At 39.5% G+C, this 17,123-nt stretch overlaps 1 pseudogene, besides 3 other annotated features; it reads right to left on the bottom strand.

Moving 5' to 3' along the window:
• Positions 10,500-10,999: an enhancer, noted in NCBI's record as "H3K4me1 hESC enhancer chr11:14929307-14929806 (GRCh37/hg19 assembly coordinates)". NCBI's record gives its function as "activates a minimal SCP1, AML or CMV promoter by ChIP-STARR-seq in naive H9 embryonic stem cells {active_cell/tissue: H9 hESC(naive)}" and the evidence as "EXISTENCE:reporter gene assay evidence [ECO:0000049][PMID:30033119]".
• On the bottom strand, positions 10,761-11,261 carry CALCP (calcitonin pseudogene; annotated as a pseudogene).
• Positions 12,642-12,751: an enhancer, noted in NCBI's record as "active region_4477". NCBI's record gives its function as "activates an Ori minimal core promoter by ATAC-STARR-seq in GM12878 lymphoblastoid cells {active_cell/tissue: GM12878}" and the evidence as "EXISTENCE:reporter gene assay evidence [ECO:0000049][PMID:35858748]".
• Positions 12,932-13,031: an enhancer, noted in NCBI's record as "active region_4476". NCBI's record gives its function as "activates an Ori minimal core promoter by ATAC-STARR-seq in GM12878 lymphoblastoid cells {active_cell/tissue: GM12878}" and the evidence as "EXISTENCE:reporter gene assay evidence [ECO:0000049][PMID:35858748]".

Here is a 17,123-nt window from a genome sequence, read left to right as displayed (position 1 = left end):
AAGGCTAATTGAACACTGTGGCTTTCTGTCTATTTCATTGATTACTGGTTTGGGGATAATTGTTAGCATGCTCCCTGCTTTGGCTTTTATTTTTCATGAAAGTTTCTTCATAGTGATTGTTTAATCTCAAATCAAAACTTTCCTATCATGAAACATAATATAATAACATGAAAACATCAAAGCTATACTGAGATGCTTGTTTTGATAATATTACAAATAATTAATTATCAATGGTATTTCCATCTGAGTTACAATAAGGCAAATTTCATTCTTTATTACTGCTTTTTCTCACCACCTATCTCCACCCTGGCCACCTAACCTAATGCTTAGCTGACGTGTGTTTAGAAAATCAGAGTACTTTTACCCTTAGCTCCAGCAATTCACCAGTGAACTGATATGAGAGTCCTAAAATGTTGGGTAAAGTAAATGACCATGGGGTCATACCCAACACTGTTCCTCTCTGTAACATATAGGGTTGTCCCAGTTACTATGACAATGTATTTTATTTTAGAGCAAGTTGAAAAATAAGGTAAGTAACCATGTTGTCTGTGGAACACTTAGCATTATTATGGGAAAGTTAAAGGTTAAAGCTATTTTATCCTTTTATTTATGGTTCTTCAGATCCTTTTGTCTATTTGTTTTTGAGACAGGGTCTCACTCTGTCGCCCATGCTGGAGTGCAGTGGTGCAATCATAGCTCATGGCAGCCTCAACCTTCTGGGCTCAAGCATAACTCCCACTTCAGCCTCCCAAGTAGCTGGGACTATAGGCGTGTACCACCACGCCTGGATAATTTTTTTTAATTTTTTTGTAGAGACGAAGTCTCACCATGTTGCCCAGGCTGGTTTCAAACTCCTAGGCTCAGGCAATCCTTTCACCTTAGCCTCCAAACTGCTGGGATTACAGGCATGAGCCACCTCACCTGGAGTACTTCAGATTCTTATGGTGGAACAGCCTTGATCAAATTGCTTACTTTTTCTTAAAGAGTTTTACTATTCCAGATTAAATCCATGGCTGCCTGACATCAAACGCATTGGAGTGCATAGCTCTGTGTGGGACAGCTGTCATACACAAATATGATCATCCAGAGAGGTCAAATGCATATCTAATATTTCCAGATGCCCCTCAGGGTATCTTTTTCCTTTTTAAAGTTAATTCTGATAGTTTATAGGAAATCTGTACAATTTTGATGCATTTAAAAAGCATTTTTTATTATAAAACCTATACTCAAATAAAGAAATTGAAAAATACAGATAATATAGAAAAGGAAATATAAGTTCCTATTTCCCAATTCAATTCCACATTCCCATACCCCAAAAGTATCATTACTCGTCTCCTTCCAGAAATCTTTCTCCTTATACAACTACATAAATGGAATATCTTTTATATATTTTACCACAAATGGGATCTTCCTATACATGTCATTTTGTGTTTTTCCCATAAAATGTAGGTCAGTACATTTACATCTTTGTCTTCTTTTTAGCGCCTGTATAGCATTCCTTGTATAGATATACCATATCTTTTTCACCTATTAGTGATCACTTAGTTTCCATTTTCATTTCCTTCTTTGTCTTTCTTTCTTGATATTAAAAATAGGACTGTAATTAACATTCATCTACAAATTTTTTTCCAACTTAAGAAAATGTACCCACTGCAATGGTTTGAATGTTTATGTCCCCTCCAAAATTTATGTTGAAACTAAATCCCCAGTGTAAGCATTAAAAGATGGGATCTTTAGGAAGTGTTTAGGCCATGAGGGCTCTGCCCTTATGAATAGATCAATGCCTTATAAAAGAACTGGCTTGAGAGCACCAGATCATCCCTTCCCTCCCTTCCATCATGTGAAGATACAGTTTGTCCCTTGTGGAGGATGCAGCAACAAGGTGTCATCTTGGAAGCAGAGAGCAGCCCTCACCAAACACCAAACATGCAGTTGCCTTGATCTTGGACTTTCCGACCTCCAGAACTGTGAGAAATAAATTCCTATTGTTTTAAAGTTACCCAGTCTGTGGTAGTTTGTTATAGCCACACAAAAATACTAACATACCCGCTATATAAATTTCAAGCAGGAGTTCTAGCACTGCTCTGAATAACATTCTGCAGTTGAATTGGATGCCCAGTTACTCCATCCTAACACTCCATGGGGTAATTAAAGAAATGCTGACATGTGGTATTAATGTATACATGCTCTAGAAAATTAGGCAATGTTCTGGTAATCTTTTGCTACATAACATACCACTCTTCAACTATGTGGCATAAAACAAAACAATCATTCCTCTAGCTCAGAAATCTGCAACTTGGGCAGGGCTTGGTGGGAAATGCTTGTATCTGCCTTGGCTAAGGGCCAGAAAATCCACTTCCAAGAAGGCTCATTCAACTGGTTGGTCCTGGTGATCAGTTGGAAAGTCAGCTGGAGTGGAGGGCTAGGAAACTTGGTTTCTTTCTGAACGAGTCTCTCCATGTGGCTTGGGCTTCCTCATGGAATGATACTTGGATTCCAAGGGCAAGAATTCTGAAAGACAGAGCTAGGCAGAAGCTATACTGTCTTTAGTGACCTAGCCTCAGAAGTCTCATAGTGCATTAATTGAACTAGTCACAAAGGTCTATGCAAGTTCAAGAGGAGAGAATATAAACTCAGTCAGTTGATGAGAATTTGTCAAGGTTCTCAAAAAACTTGCAGGATGGGAAATATTATTGCAGCCACTACTGGAAAAATGCAATCTGCCACAGCCAAAAAATACCTTCTTTGATCCAGATAGATAGATCTCAATATAATGATATTGTTGATTTTTTAAAACAAGGATATCCACATTTTATTGTTTTCCTTTTATCTGATTCTGAAAAAAAATATTTTACCAGAACTACACATTTTTTCCTGTGGATATACTCATCAGGCTAATCCGTACGATGACTAAAAGTTGTGGTAGTTGCATGGTCTCCAATTTCTCTCTTTTTTCTTTTCTTTTCTTTTGCTTTCATGTCTTCTTTCTTTCCTTCCTTCCTTCCTTCCTTCTTTCTTTTTATTTTTTTTAAGAGACAGGGTCTTGCATCTTGCTCTGTCACCCAGGCTGGAGTGCAGTGGCCTCAGGTGATCCAATACTTCCTCCCACCTCAACCTCCTGAGTAGCTGGAACTACAAGTGCCCACACCAAATCAGGTTAATTTTGTATATATTTTTTGTTAAGACAGGGGTCTTGCTATGTTGACCAGGCTGGTCTCGAAATCCTGGCCTCAAACAATTTCCTCCTTCAGCCTCCCAAAGCACTGGGATTACAGGCATGAGGCACCACACCTTGCCAATATTTCTTCAATGGATGAGAAACAATTCATTTTGTTTTCCCACTTGCCTTCCATTTAGCATAGCGTCTAATGACTATTAGCTATTGTTATTGTTTCAGTATGACATACTGTATCTTCATTTTACTAATCAGAAAATCTAGATGTGAAAAAGTGAAGCAAATTTCCTAAAATCCCATTTAATAGTACAACTGGGATTTGAACTTTGGATCCTGAGGATTAGACCTTTGTTCTAAGCCTAAAGTGGTACTGTTAATTAAACCTAAAGCATTAGGTCAGGAACTTTATTATATCAAGCTTATCAGTTGGAAAATCCTTAGCTGTTGTTTAATCCAAGTGAGCTATGATATCTTCCCAGGAAACTACATGCTAGGATCTTTCTTGCCAGTGATGTGGGTTACATTCAGATTTGCATTTGAATATTAATATGCCTGTTGTTCTATGTGAGAGAATGCCTGAACTAATGTAGCAAAGCAGGATCTAAAGATCCAATATGGGAAGAAATTAAATATTGTTTTACTTTTCTCCACTATTTTCCAAACCCAATTTCATGGTTTCATAAACTAACATACTCTGATTAAATGCCATATTAAGATAAGGGAGTTAGTAAACAAAAGGAACCGCAGAAATTTGCCAGCAGGTAAAAAAAAAAAAACACAGAGAGCTTCCTGCAGAAACCTGACCTTGACCAATGAGATGAAGGAAAGAAAGGATATGACATAAGCACTGACAGTTGAGTGCTACTTCCCAAAAGTCGTTGTGCGTCAGAATCTCCTGGTAAATATTTAATACTCAGACCTGACCCCTGGTGATTTGGTTGGCATAGGATGGAGCCTGGGGATATGTATATGTCTTTACAAGTACCCAGATGATGCAGATGGAATAAGCCTTCAAACTTTTTTTGGAACACATAGGTTTAGGGCACAATTCAGGAGAGTTTTTTACAGTTCAATCTTTAGCATTAAAAAATTTTTTACGTCATTCTCTATTGTCATCAGATTTTTTCTGGCTTTTTTGTGGCGGGGGATACCTACAAGGTAATGTCTGTTCTTCAATAGAAGCCAAGATTCTGATTCATTCTTTTCCAATGATCATATTAGGTTATTGTAATCTTTTGTGCTGAATCAGTTGAAATTCTGTTTTCATGTTTTCACTGAAATTTAAAAATGGAATCAGACTCCTAGAGTATGCAATTATGGGCCACTTGATATATTAACATTTACATTTCCTTTAAATATCAAAGTTTATTGCCACTAAACTATGCAAGTAGTATTCTGTTGGACCTTCTTTTTTAGTACAGAAATTACTAACTCCTAGAATCAGCTTACTTTTTTCAATGTTTGTGACAACTGTGAAAACTTAATGGATATTCTAGTGACTTACCAAATGGATGATTTCTCTAAGGAGTGAATTGTTACTATCTGGTATTCCAAAGAACTTACTAGAAGCATCTAGCAGTCTCTTAGCCCATTCCTTCTCCAATCCTATAGTGCACTAAGCAGGGTCTCCCACAGCTATATTGAGGATTTTTCATATTAGGCCACTTATATTCTTCAATCTCAGTAGGAAATTGATTTGTTATTCAACATTTTTTTTGAGCATATACTATATTCCTTTTTTTTCCAGAAGGTCAGCTAGAGCATATAGTATATTCTAAGCACTAGAAATACAAAGATCAACAAGACAGCATTTCTGCTTTAATGGTATTTACTGTCTGATGTGAAAGAAAATAGGTAATTATATAATCTGGTATAGTAATTGTATCAGATAGGGTTCCATCAGAGACAGAGAACCAGTAGAATAAATAAAATTAAAGCATATATAATATATAATTTTATTTAGATAATTTTAGAATATTTTATTTATTCTACAGGCTCTGTCATGCATATATATATATGTATATGTGTATATGTATGTATATATAGCTATAAATGGACATATCCATATATATGGATATAAAGAGATTTACAGCAAGGAATTGGCTTACCGGATTGTGAGGGCTGCCTTGGCAAATCCAAAATCCACAGAACAGGCCATCAGGAGGAGAAATCTGGAAACTCTCCGGCAAGAACTGAAACTACAGTACAAAGGTGAAATTTCTTCTTCCTCAGGCAAACTTCAGTTCTGCTTTTAAAGCCTTTCAACTACAGTCAGTCCTTCGTATCCCTGGGTTCCATATCCATCAATTCAACCAACAGCAGGTTGAAAATATTTGGGAAAAATATTGCAGCTCTACTGAACATGTACAGACTTTTTTCCCTGTCATTATTCCCTACACTATAGAGTGTAACAACTATTTACACAGCATTTACATTGTATTAGATATTATAAGTGATCTAGAGATTATCTAAAGTATATGGGAGTATATGCATAGGTTATATGCAAATGCTATGTCATTCTATATCAGGGACTTGCAGCATCCATGGATTTTAGTATTCACTAGGGGTCCTGGAACACATCTCCCATGGATTTCAAGGGACGGCTGTACTTGAATCAAGCCCACTCAGCTTATGGAAAATAGTCTCTTTTACATAGTCAACTGATTATACAAGTTAATCACATCTACAAAATACTTTCACAGAAAGATCTAGATTTGTGTTTGATTAAATAACTGGGTACTATAGCCTAGCCAAGGTAATGTATAAAACTGACATCATTTTTGTATTTTTTTATATTTGGAAAATGCTATGGTAGTATAAAATGCCAAGGACATACATCTTTTACGTATCTTATAAGATAGTAAGGGCATTTATCTTAGCTAAGGTAGTAAGATGTTTCCTGAAAGAGATGATAGTTAAAATAAAAGCTGAAGGATGAGTAGGAATTAGCTAGATTAAAAGATGGATAAAGAATATTCTGAGATGTGGGAATAGTATAAGCAAGGGCCCAGAAATCAGAGAGAGAGAAAGAGCACTAGAGATGCAATTTTCTCTTGTCATCAGATTTATTTTCCGGCTTTCTTTTTTCAGAATTATTTTAAAAGAAGCCAAGATTTGATTCCTTTTTTTAATTTGGTAATTATTATATGAGATAATTATAATGTTTTTAGTGCTAAATCAGATGAAACTCTATTTCCAATTATGAGTGAGATGAAGCACCTTTCCATATGTTTCCAATCATGGGTGAGATTAAGCATTTCCAACTATGTGTGAGATGAAGCACCCTTCCATATGTTTATCTCACATTCAGGTTTCCTCCTTTATAGATTGCCTGTTTGTAACCTGTATACATTATTCTATTGGGTAGTCTTCTTTTCCTTATTTATTATATATGACTTGGATATTACTAGGAATGCTTTGTTTTTATATGTATTGCAGGTATATTCTTCCGGAAAATATCAATCAAAACTGGGAGGAGCTTTGTAGACTAAAATTTGCAAGGGAGTGCAAGGGGACAATATTAAGTCAGAGAATGCTGGGGTGATCTGGATTCCGGGCCCAAATCTTAGTTATAGGACAAAGCCCCTGTACTGAGCAGGAACAAAAGGAGCAAAGAAAAGGAAAGAAGAGTCAGCCCATTTCAGAGAGCACAGTATTTTTTAACACTTCAAATAAACTGCAGAAGAAGATGCTCTAGAACCTTTAGGCTAGGAAAGCTACACCGGCTGTCTTCCCTTCTAGTACAGGAAAACTTGTCTTACTAAAATACAAGCAACAGAAATAAAATTAGTGAAACCTCAAAATTATTATCAGAAAAATATTCTTGCAAGCAATGAAAACAAGCCAGAAAGACATGCCCACAAAATAGGAAAAACTATATGCTAATATTCTAAACAAACAAGGTAAAAGAAATTAAGAAAATAATAAAAGTTTCAAAAGAGCAATATAAATTAGGATCAAAAGAACAACTTAAATTAGGATCAAAATAACTCAGAAATAATATTATTGGAGAAAAGAGAGCAGGAAGATATGAAAATGGAGCTTACAAAACCAAGGAAAGCATTAGAAATAAAAGAAAAAATATTTTGGAAATGGACATTAAAGTAGAAGTAATACATTAGTGAATAAACACAATGGAGAGTGTATAAAGAGAAATAGATAATGGAAAGGGATATATTTTTAATTAAACATATGAAAGAAATTTAAATTTTCTTCCTTTCCTTTATGTATTCTATTTTATTCTTTTATTATCTTTTCTTAAAATCAACTTTATTGATGTATAATTTACATAAAATTAAATGCATTTAAATTTATAGTTTGGCAAGTTTTGACAAAGTCACTACTACAATTAAGGAAAAGCAAAAAGAAAGAAAGGAAAAGAAAGACTGAAAAAATGAACAAAACACTTAGTTTGTACAAAAGAAAACAAGAAAAAAAAATAAAGAAACAGGCCAGATGGGACTAAAGCAAAATAAATAGAAGGTAGAAGACAAACCCAACTATATCAGAAATTATATTAAATGTACAAGGATTAAGCACTCCAATTAAGGAAGAAAATGGTCGGGCTGTCTTTAAAAATGCTAACTATATGTTGTTTATAAATATGAAAGTTAGAAAATGGGGAAGATATACTATAAAAACACTAACATAATATACATAGCGTGGCTATATAATATCAAATAAGCAGACTTTAAGATACATAGTATTACTAGTGATAAAGAACATTTCAAGACCTGAAACAGTAAGAAAAAAAAAATCCTAAATTTTAAATACACCTAATAGCATAGTTTCAAAATATATACAACAGAAATAAAGAACCCGAAGGAGAACTAGACAAATGTATGTAATTGTATAATTCAACTTATCTCTCTCAGTAGCTGATAGAAAAAGCAGTTAAAAAAAAATACATGGTATGGCTGGGCATGGTGGCTCAAGTCTGTAATCCCAGCACTTTGGGAGGCCAAGGCAAGTGGATCACCTGAGGTCGAGAGTTTGAGACCAGCCTGACCAACATGGAGAAACCCCATCTCTACTAAAAATACAAAAATTAGCCAGGCGTGGTGGCTCATGCCTGTAATCCAAGCTATTTGGGAAGCTGAGGCAGGAGAATCACTTGAACCCAGGAGGTAGAGGTTGTGGTGAGCCAAGATCACGCCATTGCACTCCAGCCTGGGCAACAAGAGTGAAACTCCGTCTCAAAAAAAAAAAAAAAAACAGTGTCAATGAGATTTTAACAACACAATTAAGCATCTTGACCCAATCAACCTATATACAATGTTACATTCAACACCTCCAAAATATGCAATCTTTGAAGGATAAGTGGAACATTTACCAAAATAGATCATATGCTAATCATAAAGCAATTCTCAATAAATTTCCAAGAACTGGAATCATTGAGAGTATTTATCTAACCGTTGTGAAAATAAATTTGTAATCAATAACAGAAAAATATTTGGAAATTTAGCAGTATATACCTAAATAACCCATGTATCAAAGAAGCAGTCATAAAGAAAATAAAAAACATTTTTAATTTAAATATTTTTCAATTGAAATATTGAAATTAAAATATGACATCAAAATTTGTGGGCTGCAGTTAAAAACCATTATTTTAAAAAGTTATTATAGCTTTAAATACATATATTTGAAAAAACAAAACGTTGGGAATCAGTTACCTCAGCCTCCATCCAAAGAAGATAGAAGAAAAGGACATAAATTAAATCTAAAAAAGGAGAAAAATAAAATAATAACAGTAGAAATTAATGAAATAGCAGAGAGAAAATCAACAAAGCCAAAAGCTGGTTCTTTGAGAAGATTAATACAATTCACAATCCCCTAGCAAAACTGAGCAAGATAAAAAGAGAGAAAATACATATTACCAGTATCCAGAATAAAAAGTGTTATACCACTAGCGATCCTAAAGACATTAAAAGAAAATAAGTGAATATTATGAATATTTTGTGCCAATAATTTTGACAATTTTGATAAAATATACAAGTTTCTTATATAAGACAAGCTACCAAAATTTGCACAAGAGGAAATGGAAAATCTGAATAGTTCTGTATCTGATAAAGACTTAAATATATAACTTAAATCTCTCTCACAAAGGAAGCTCCAAGAAGGAAGAAATATAATTAATCAAACAGAAATTTTTCAGAGAAAAAAGAAAGAAGCAACATTTCCGAATTCATTTAATGAAACTAGTAGAATCCCACAAAAAGTTATAAGGACATCACCAGGAAGGCAAAATACAAGCAAATATATGTCATAAATATAGATGTAGTAATCCTAAACAAACAAGAAAAGTAAATCAAAAATCATCAATGTGGAAAAGAATGATGATCATGACCAAATGGTGTTTATTTTAGGAATATAATATTGGTTTTACCTCCAAAACTCAATGTATTCACCACATTAACAGAATAAAAGAGAAACACCATATGATCATCTACATAGATTTTAAAAAGACATTTGATAAAACTTAAGAACCTTCTTGATACAAACTCTCAGAAAACTAGAATGAAAAGAATGTTCTTATTCTGAACAAAGATACTTATGAAAAATCCCACTGTTAACATCATATTGAATGAGCATTCCTCCTGAGTTTACAAACACAATGAAGATGTTCACTATCCTCAATCAGTTCTTTTCAATATCACTCTGGATGTCAACAAATGTTCTCAGGGCATTTCAACATCAATTAAGCCTAAGGATTTTACTTAGTTTCCTGTGTATTTGGTTATTCAGAAATGAGAAACATTTCCATGAGTTCTATTTCAGTTTTCTTTTTTACAAATGAACTACTAATTCATCACATTGTAAAGAGCTCTTAGCTCTTATCTGGACAGTCTTTGTTGCCATCTGCTGGTGATCAGCTGCTCTACCTGAGATCTACTCTCCACCTTAGAAAGGGAAGGAATGGGGAGAACCAGCCATCAGAAATCGAACTGACTGAAACGGAAGGAGAAAGTGTAAGAAACAGCAAGTCTAAAACCTCCTAACACATTAGGGCACCTACTGTATTCCAGCCCCCATGCTAGGTCTTCACACACTCACTAACTAGAAGCAGTAGAAATACTAGTTAAGAAAATGGAGTGTGGAGCCAAACTACCCGGATTTTAAAGCTCAGCTTTACCATTTACTAGTTTATGACTTTTAACAAATTACTTAACCGTACTTGTTTTAGTTTCCTCACAGATTGTTGTGAGGATCAAAATCATCAGTCAACTATTTACAACTGTAACCAGCTCATAGTCAGCACTAAACAAAGTACATGTATTTCACAATTATCCCATCTAATGAGAGCTATTGTTGCAAGAGCAATTCTCACAGTGAGCGATTCCACATCTTCGCATTTCACTTCCTAACAGCTTTCAAAAACGGAGCTTTTTATTGTGTCTAACCACAGTCCTTCCAGCTGCACTGGGACCTCTGTCTCCCCTGGAGCCTGAGAAAGGCTGGGCTCCAAGTCCTCCTGAACAAATCAGCTTGCTGGACCCCTTGCCAGTGTGCTCTCTCCTACCTCTTGGGATCCGCCTTCTTGGTATGCTGCGGGGAAAGGAGGCCCTGTTCTGGGCGCTTGGGGAGCCTCACCTGGAGCTCTGTCTCCTGCTCCTGCTCCAGCTCACTGGCCTTCATCTGCACATAGTCCTGCACCAGTGCAGCCAGCAGGAGGCGCACTTCCTCCTCACTGAGTGTGGCCGGGTCTGGGCTGCTCTCCACGGGAGACCTGTGGAGGGGAAGCAAACTCAATGCAGGCTGTGAGTCCCTGCCTGCCCCTCCCCAGGATAAACAGCCAGGCTCCCTGGTATCTGCTTCTTCCCCTGAGGATGTGGCCACTGCGACTCCCAGGGGACAGGGCATGAGGTCAGGGTCCACCTGTGGGCACTGCTTCACCGGGAGCCATGCATGGTTTCAGAGGCACAGAGCTGCCTGGTCCCAGGGGCAGTGGGAGCAGAGGAGCCCCTGGTTCCAAGCTGTCTCACCTGAATGGCGCTGCCTGGAGGCTGCCTGCCTGGCACAGGACCAAGACTGAGAGCCAGCAAGCGGGAGAACTTCTGGGAGCCTTTGTTTGCTCTATGTAACAAGTAAAATGATGCCGCCTTTAGGCAAGTCAGTTAATCCCCAGCTGGGGTCACTGTCACAGCTTTTTTCAGTCGTTTAAGGTAACCTGGTATATTAGGGGTTTCTCTCACCTTCTAGTGAGTGGGGCCAGGCCAGCTACAGCTAAGTTTTCGGTATGTTCACACCTGGATCTAAAGGCGAAAGCATGGTACTCATTACTGCACAGAGCTTCTGCCCTAAATACCTGCTTTCTTCCCTACCATGCCCACCAGCCTAGATCCTTCTTCCCATCTATCCCGGACTCTTTAGAGGATGTCTCGGGCTCCGCCCATTTTCCATAGCTTTTCCAAAGGCACTTCCTAACTAGGAGTCCCCAAGTCTCCTCAGGCTTCAGGTCCCCTTTCCAAGTCTTTCCATCCCTTCACACCTCCTCATGAAATATCTCTCCACGCACCCTTCCCCAGGGCCTAGAACAACATGTGGAGCTGGGGGTGGGGGATTCAGTTGCCCCTCCTGTAGTCTGCCTTGGCTTTGTTCTTCATAGGAATTTAAAACTCCAGGCTCCACACAGCTCTGCGTTTGTTCAGGGGGCTCTCTAGAGTGTCTCCTAGGGTTCCTCGTGTCTTTTGGGGCCCTTCCCCAAGAGGTTGGTGTGGCAGAGTGGCTAGAGGCCAGGTTTCCTGTGCTGCCTCTGTTCCTGTGTAACCTCAGGCAAGTAACTGGACACTATCTAGGCCTCATTGCCCCAGTGGGGTACCTTCAAGTTTGAAGGCATTCATGAATGTAAACGGTTTGGAAGCTTCACAGAGCAGAGAGAGATGTCCAGGCCTGAGGGTGCCGGGTTCCGCTTGGGGTTGAAGGCACTTAGTCCCATCCTGTGGGTCTAGTCTACCATGAAGGCTTTCTGCCCAATATGGCTGAAGAAGGCAGGCTCACTGTCTCCCTCCTTAGGCACTTAGACAGCTGGGGTTATCTTTCCCGGGGCAAGGTCGTTATTTCAATAGCCCAGACACACACACACACACACACACACACACACACACACATACACACTTGCTCTGCACGTTCCTAGTCCCAGGAACATTTAATGACAGGTACACAGCCCAAGGCTCCGGCTGTCTGTAGGGACTGAGCTCCGTAGCTTCACCTGAACGTAGATGCGGGTGCCTCATGCCTCTCTAGAAGGCCAAACCCCTGGACAAACCCATCTCCTTGGGATCGCCTGCTGCCCTGCGCTGATTTAGGGACTGTTCCCCAAGGGGCACACACCGTAGTGTTGGACCCAGCTCAGGTTGCCACCGAAGTGGGCCTCTCCGCGCGCGCGCAGAGTACGCCGCGGCGCCGTGACGGCCCCAAACAGGGAGCTCGCCTCCGAGGGAGCAGGCGAGAGGAGAGGGAGGATTAGGGATAAGGGCCCACTGGAAGAATGACCGGAACCGAATTTACCCTTCTAGAGACTGACAGCCGTTGAAACAGCGCCTCCAGATCAAAGGGGAGAGACCAGGGGAAATGCAGAGAACGTGCGGGGCTAACGGCAAGAGCAGACAACATCCCCACAGTGGGCGGACTCGGACCCCAGCGGGCTCCCCAGCAGTGGTACCACTGGGGCTGGCGCTCTGCCCAAGACAGCACCCCCAGAAGGCTCACCCAGGGGAAGTGAAACCCTTTGCGGTGCCCAGAATAACAAGCCACCTTTCACCGCAGCCTACGACCGGCCGGCTGCACCCCAACGCGCGCCCGAACACACATACACACACACACATATGCACACGCCTTCCTGCCCATTCACCAGGGCGAGGGCAGCCCCTCTAGAGACCGTTTTGCACAGCTGCCTTGTGCCGCGGGGCTCTGTGTGTGGAGGTGCCCTGGGCCGGCCAATCCAGGCCAGTTCACTTGCTGCCGGCTACCTGGGGTAAAGGCCCGGATGCAACCCAGCCCGTCCTGCAGCGCCCTCCAAAGGAGCACAGGGGCCTCTGCAGGCCCGAAGGTTACCAGGTGTCTGTACTCAGATAAGAACAAGCACTCGAATCCAATGCTAACCAACTCACCCATACCTATGGAGTTCGAAATGCGCGCCCCGGGAGCGGGGGCTCGCCGCCTCCCAGCCATCTTCTCGCTAACTCGTGAACTGTGACTGCCAGAAGCACCCTCACGGAGGACCCGCGCACACTCCACCAACGGACGCAGTCTTGGTTGGCATTCACATCCCGGACACACGGACCATCATTGCGTACACCCGCCTTCCCTGCAAGTGAAACTTCTTTCCAAGTGGACGCTTTGCAGAAATCCGGCCCCCGAGCAGAGTGTAGGTCCGAAGGCACAGTGAGCCCCGCCGTCTCCCGGACCTGGCTTCCGCGGACTGGGAAGAAGACCCCCCGCCTGGCCAGGCCGAAGGATTCGGTGGGCTCCTCAGTGGAGCCCACGGTCCCGACACCCGCGGTCGTGGGGCCCCTGGGCCTGTGCACCCGGACAGCTGGTATGACCCGGGGTCCGCCGGTCCGCGGGCCGCCACGCCTTCGCGGCCGACAGGGGGCGCTGTTTTGACGCTTTGCTTGCCCCTTGTGCGATCTGGGCCTAGAAAGGCGAACTTTTCTAGCGCTCAGGAAATGCTCCCAGGAAAACCACGAAGGAACTGATTTCATTCTCTGAAAACTGTTCAACCAGAAATCCCCATGTGGCGACCGTCCAGTGCGTCCTCACACTTCCAAAATAAAAGCCACCCTGTCAGAAGCCAGTGGGCCAGGCCAGACCTAAGCATAGCGAGCAAAGGGAAACCTGTGTGGATCAATTAGATTCAGACTCAGCAAATCAAAATCGTTTTGTTGCTGCTGCCTGGTGCAATCCTCAATCAAGAATAAATCCAGAGCACATCTACATTTTATATCTGATCTCTCCTTACCTAGGAAAGCAAACTGCTGGGGCAAAGACTAGCTTCGTTTTATTTGGTGAACAAAATCAGTTTCTCTATAAAGGTGCCCTGGAAGGCCCGAACTGGGGTGAGATGAGTGAGGCACTTGTTTCCATTGCAAAATGTAAAGGGGTGCCAAAAATCTCAGGAATCCAGAGTAATATTTTAACGTAATGTCTTTAATGATAAAAACGAGTGCAAAAACATCCAGGACAAAGAACATATCTAAACTTGAAATAGGATCTGACAGGGCTAGGAATCCAACCTTTCCCAATCTTTTTGTTCTATCAATCTCTCAACCAATTGGATGATGCCCACACACGCATTTGCTCAAATCCAGTCCTGCTTACCAGCTTTTACAAGTGCCACCTCTTCTTCCAAAGTTGAAGCAATTCATGTGATCCATTTCTTCTTGGAGGAGCTTGTTACCCTTTTGAATCAGTATACTTTGTGACTCAGTTTGCCTTGTGACTTCAGCTTTCTGGTGGGTCCAAAAAATTATGATTTTATAGATTATTCAGGTTTTTCTCATTGTTAGGGTGGGAGTGATATGCTACTGTTGCTTTCGAAATTGTAAGCAGGAACAGAATCCTTTTAACACCATTCTGACACTTTTAATCATGCAGTTCAGTGGCAATAATTATATTCCCAATGTTGTGCAAATCATCATCATTATCCATTTCCAGAATTTGTTCGTCATCCCAAATGGAAACTGTATTTGACAATAATCCCCACTATTCCTTCTACCAGCCCCTGGTAATTTCTATTATACCTTCTGTCTGTATGAGTTTGCCTATTCTGGGTGCCTCATATAAGTAAAATCCTACAATATTTGTCCTTTTGTGTCTGGCTTTCACTTAGCATAATGTCCTCAGTATTCATCATGTTGTAGCATGTGACAGGATTTTATTCCTTTTTAAGGCTAAATAATATACCATTGCATATGTATATATGACATTTGGTTCATTATTTTATATGTTGATGAATATTTACGTGGTTTTCACCTTTTGGCTATTGTTGATAATGCTGCTATGAAATTGGTGTACAATTATCTATTTGCATCTATGCTTTCAATTCTTTTGTGTATTTTCTTAAAAGTATCATTTTTTAAACTGGAACTTATTTTTATTTTAAATGTCATGTAAGCATATACACTAAAATTCAGAAGAGAAAGAAATTATTCTTATACAATTACTGTATTTTCTTCCTGTATTTTATGCTCATTTATTTTGCATTAACAATAGATGTTATGTAAGATTCCAGGGGAAGCAAACTCTTAGTTGGAGATTTGTGTGCCAAAAGGTAGTTGGGAGGAATCCCTGGTATCAACACCTATAAGGGAGTGAAGAAAGTAGGAATGGGCAGAAAGAAAAGTTGAACTGTACAGGAAAGACCTGTCTCACAGGGAGCTCTAGAGCTGGGCTAAGACTTCAGAGTTGTTCCAGCTTCAGGCAAGAAGCCTGACCCTTTATGCCTCACTGGAATAGGGCCAGCTTTATTGGCATATGATCTATGCAATCACACAGGGCCCCTATACTCACAAGGGCTCCATGCTTAGTTTAATGCTCTGCTATTACTGTCATGAAGTTCCTGGTAATTTTGGAGTAAGAGGACCCATATTTTCATTTTTCATTGGACTTTGCAAATTATGTAGCTGGCCCTGCCCTCAATCATGCATTCAATGAGAATTTTTCCCAGGAAGGATCTAGACGTTGATCAACACAATTCCCTCTGGCTGAGAGCCATTCTCAGAAACTGACTCATCTGAGAGCTGTCAGCCACCATACTCCAGTGAGGCTGGAGGAATGCAAGACTCAGTCCTGAAAGTGAGATTTGGGCAGTACACAACAGCATCCACTACAAACAGCTTCAGACATGTACCACTTTCACACAGCTCTAATTATGGTGTATATGTACACACTTGTCTACTTTGTACCTATCACATCACAGACATTTTCAGTGAAACTTCGTTGTCTTCATAGCTATGCCTTTTAACTATGTGTAATATTTCAAGGGCATTTCAAGATGTATTTTACTTCATAATTTCATTTCCCTCATCAGTCATTATTTCTATATCTATTTTACTATTTGATTGTACGTAATTTTATTACCAGAACCTCAAATTTTCTGTGACAACAAGAGATACAAATTTATCTATTGATTTATTCTTGGTCAGTTAGGTTTCTAACTTATTCTTATATAGTAATGTTATAATGAATATCTTTTTTTATTCAGAGTTCTCCATGTTTGAGATTATTTCTTGGTGTAGATTATATATAGAATTATTAGATGAGGTAGGCCATTTTGGTGACTTTGGATAGAAATTGCTAAATTGTCTCCCAAAAAAATCCATTAGATATTTTAGTATCAATATCAAATATCAATAGACAAGGGAGTATCTGTTTCATGGCATCATGGCCATTATTGTGGGTTTAAAAATTTTTCGGCTTATTATATTTTTAAAAATATTATTCTCATTTAATAGGCAAAATGGTACTTCAGAGTTTGTTTGTCAGCAATTTACTAAGAAAAAACTGAAAAATTCAGAAAAGTTGAAGCACTTGTACAATGAATACCCATGTACCCCATACCTAGACTTTAAAATTTTGCTGTATTTGCTTTAACACATATTTAGATATCTATTCATCCCTTTGTATATGCATTAATGTGTATTGTTTTTAACTTATCTCAAAGTAAGTTGCATTCAATAGGACACTTCACCCTACACACTTTAGTATGCATATCCTAAATAGAGTTCAATGTTTGCTTGCTGGTCCTTTTTAGGGAAGAAGTTTCAATACAATGAAACGCATAAATTTTAAGTACTCAGTTTGATGGGTTTTGAAAAATGCATACCCCTACAAAATATAAACCTACAAGAAAATACAGGATGTTACCATTATGCCAAAAAGTTGCCTCATACCCCTTTCCATCAAACCCTGCCCCCAATACCTGCTCCCACCTTCCCAGAGGCAAATA

This window comes from Homo sapiens, chromosome 11 (genome assembly GCF_000001405.40).
Source record: "Homo sapiens chromosome 11, GRCh38.p14 Primary Assembly".
Lineage (NCBI taxonomy): Eukaryota > Metazoa > Chordata > Mammalia > Primates > Hominidae > Homo > Homo sapiens.
The sequence above is the reverse complement of the archived record's forward strand: the minus strand, read 5'-3'. Positions and strand labels throughout refer to the sequence as shown.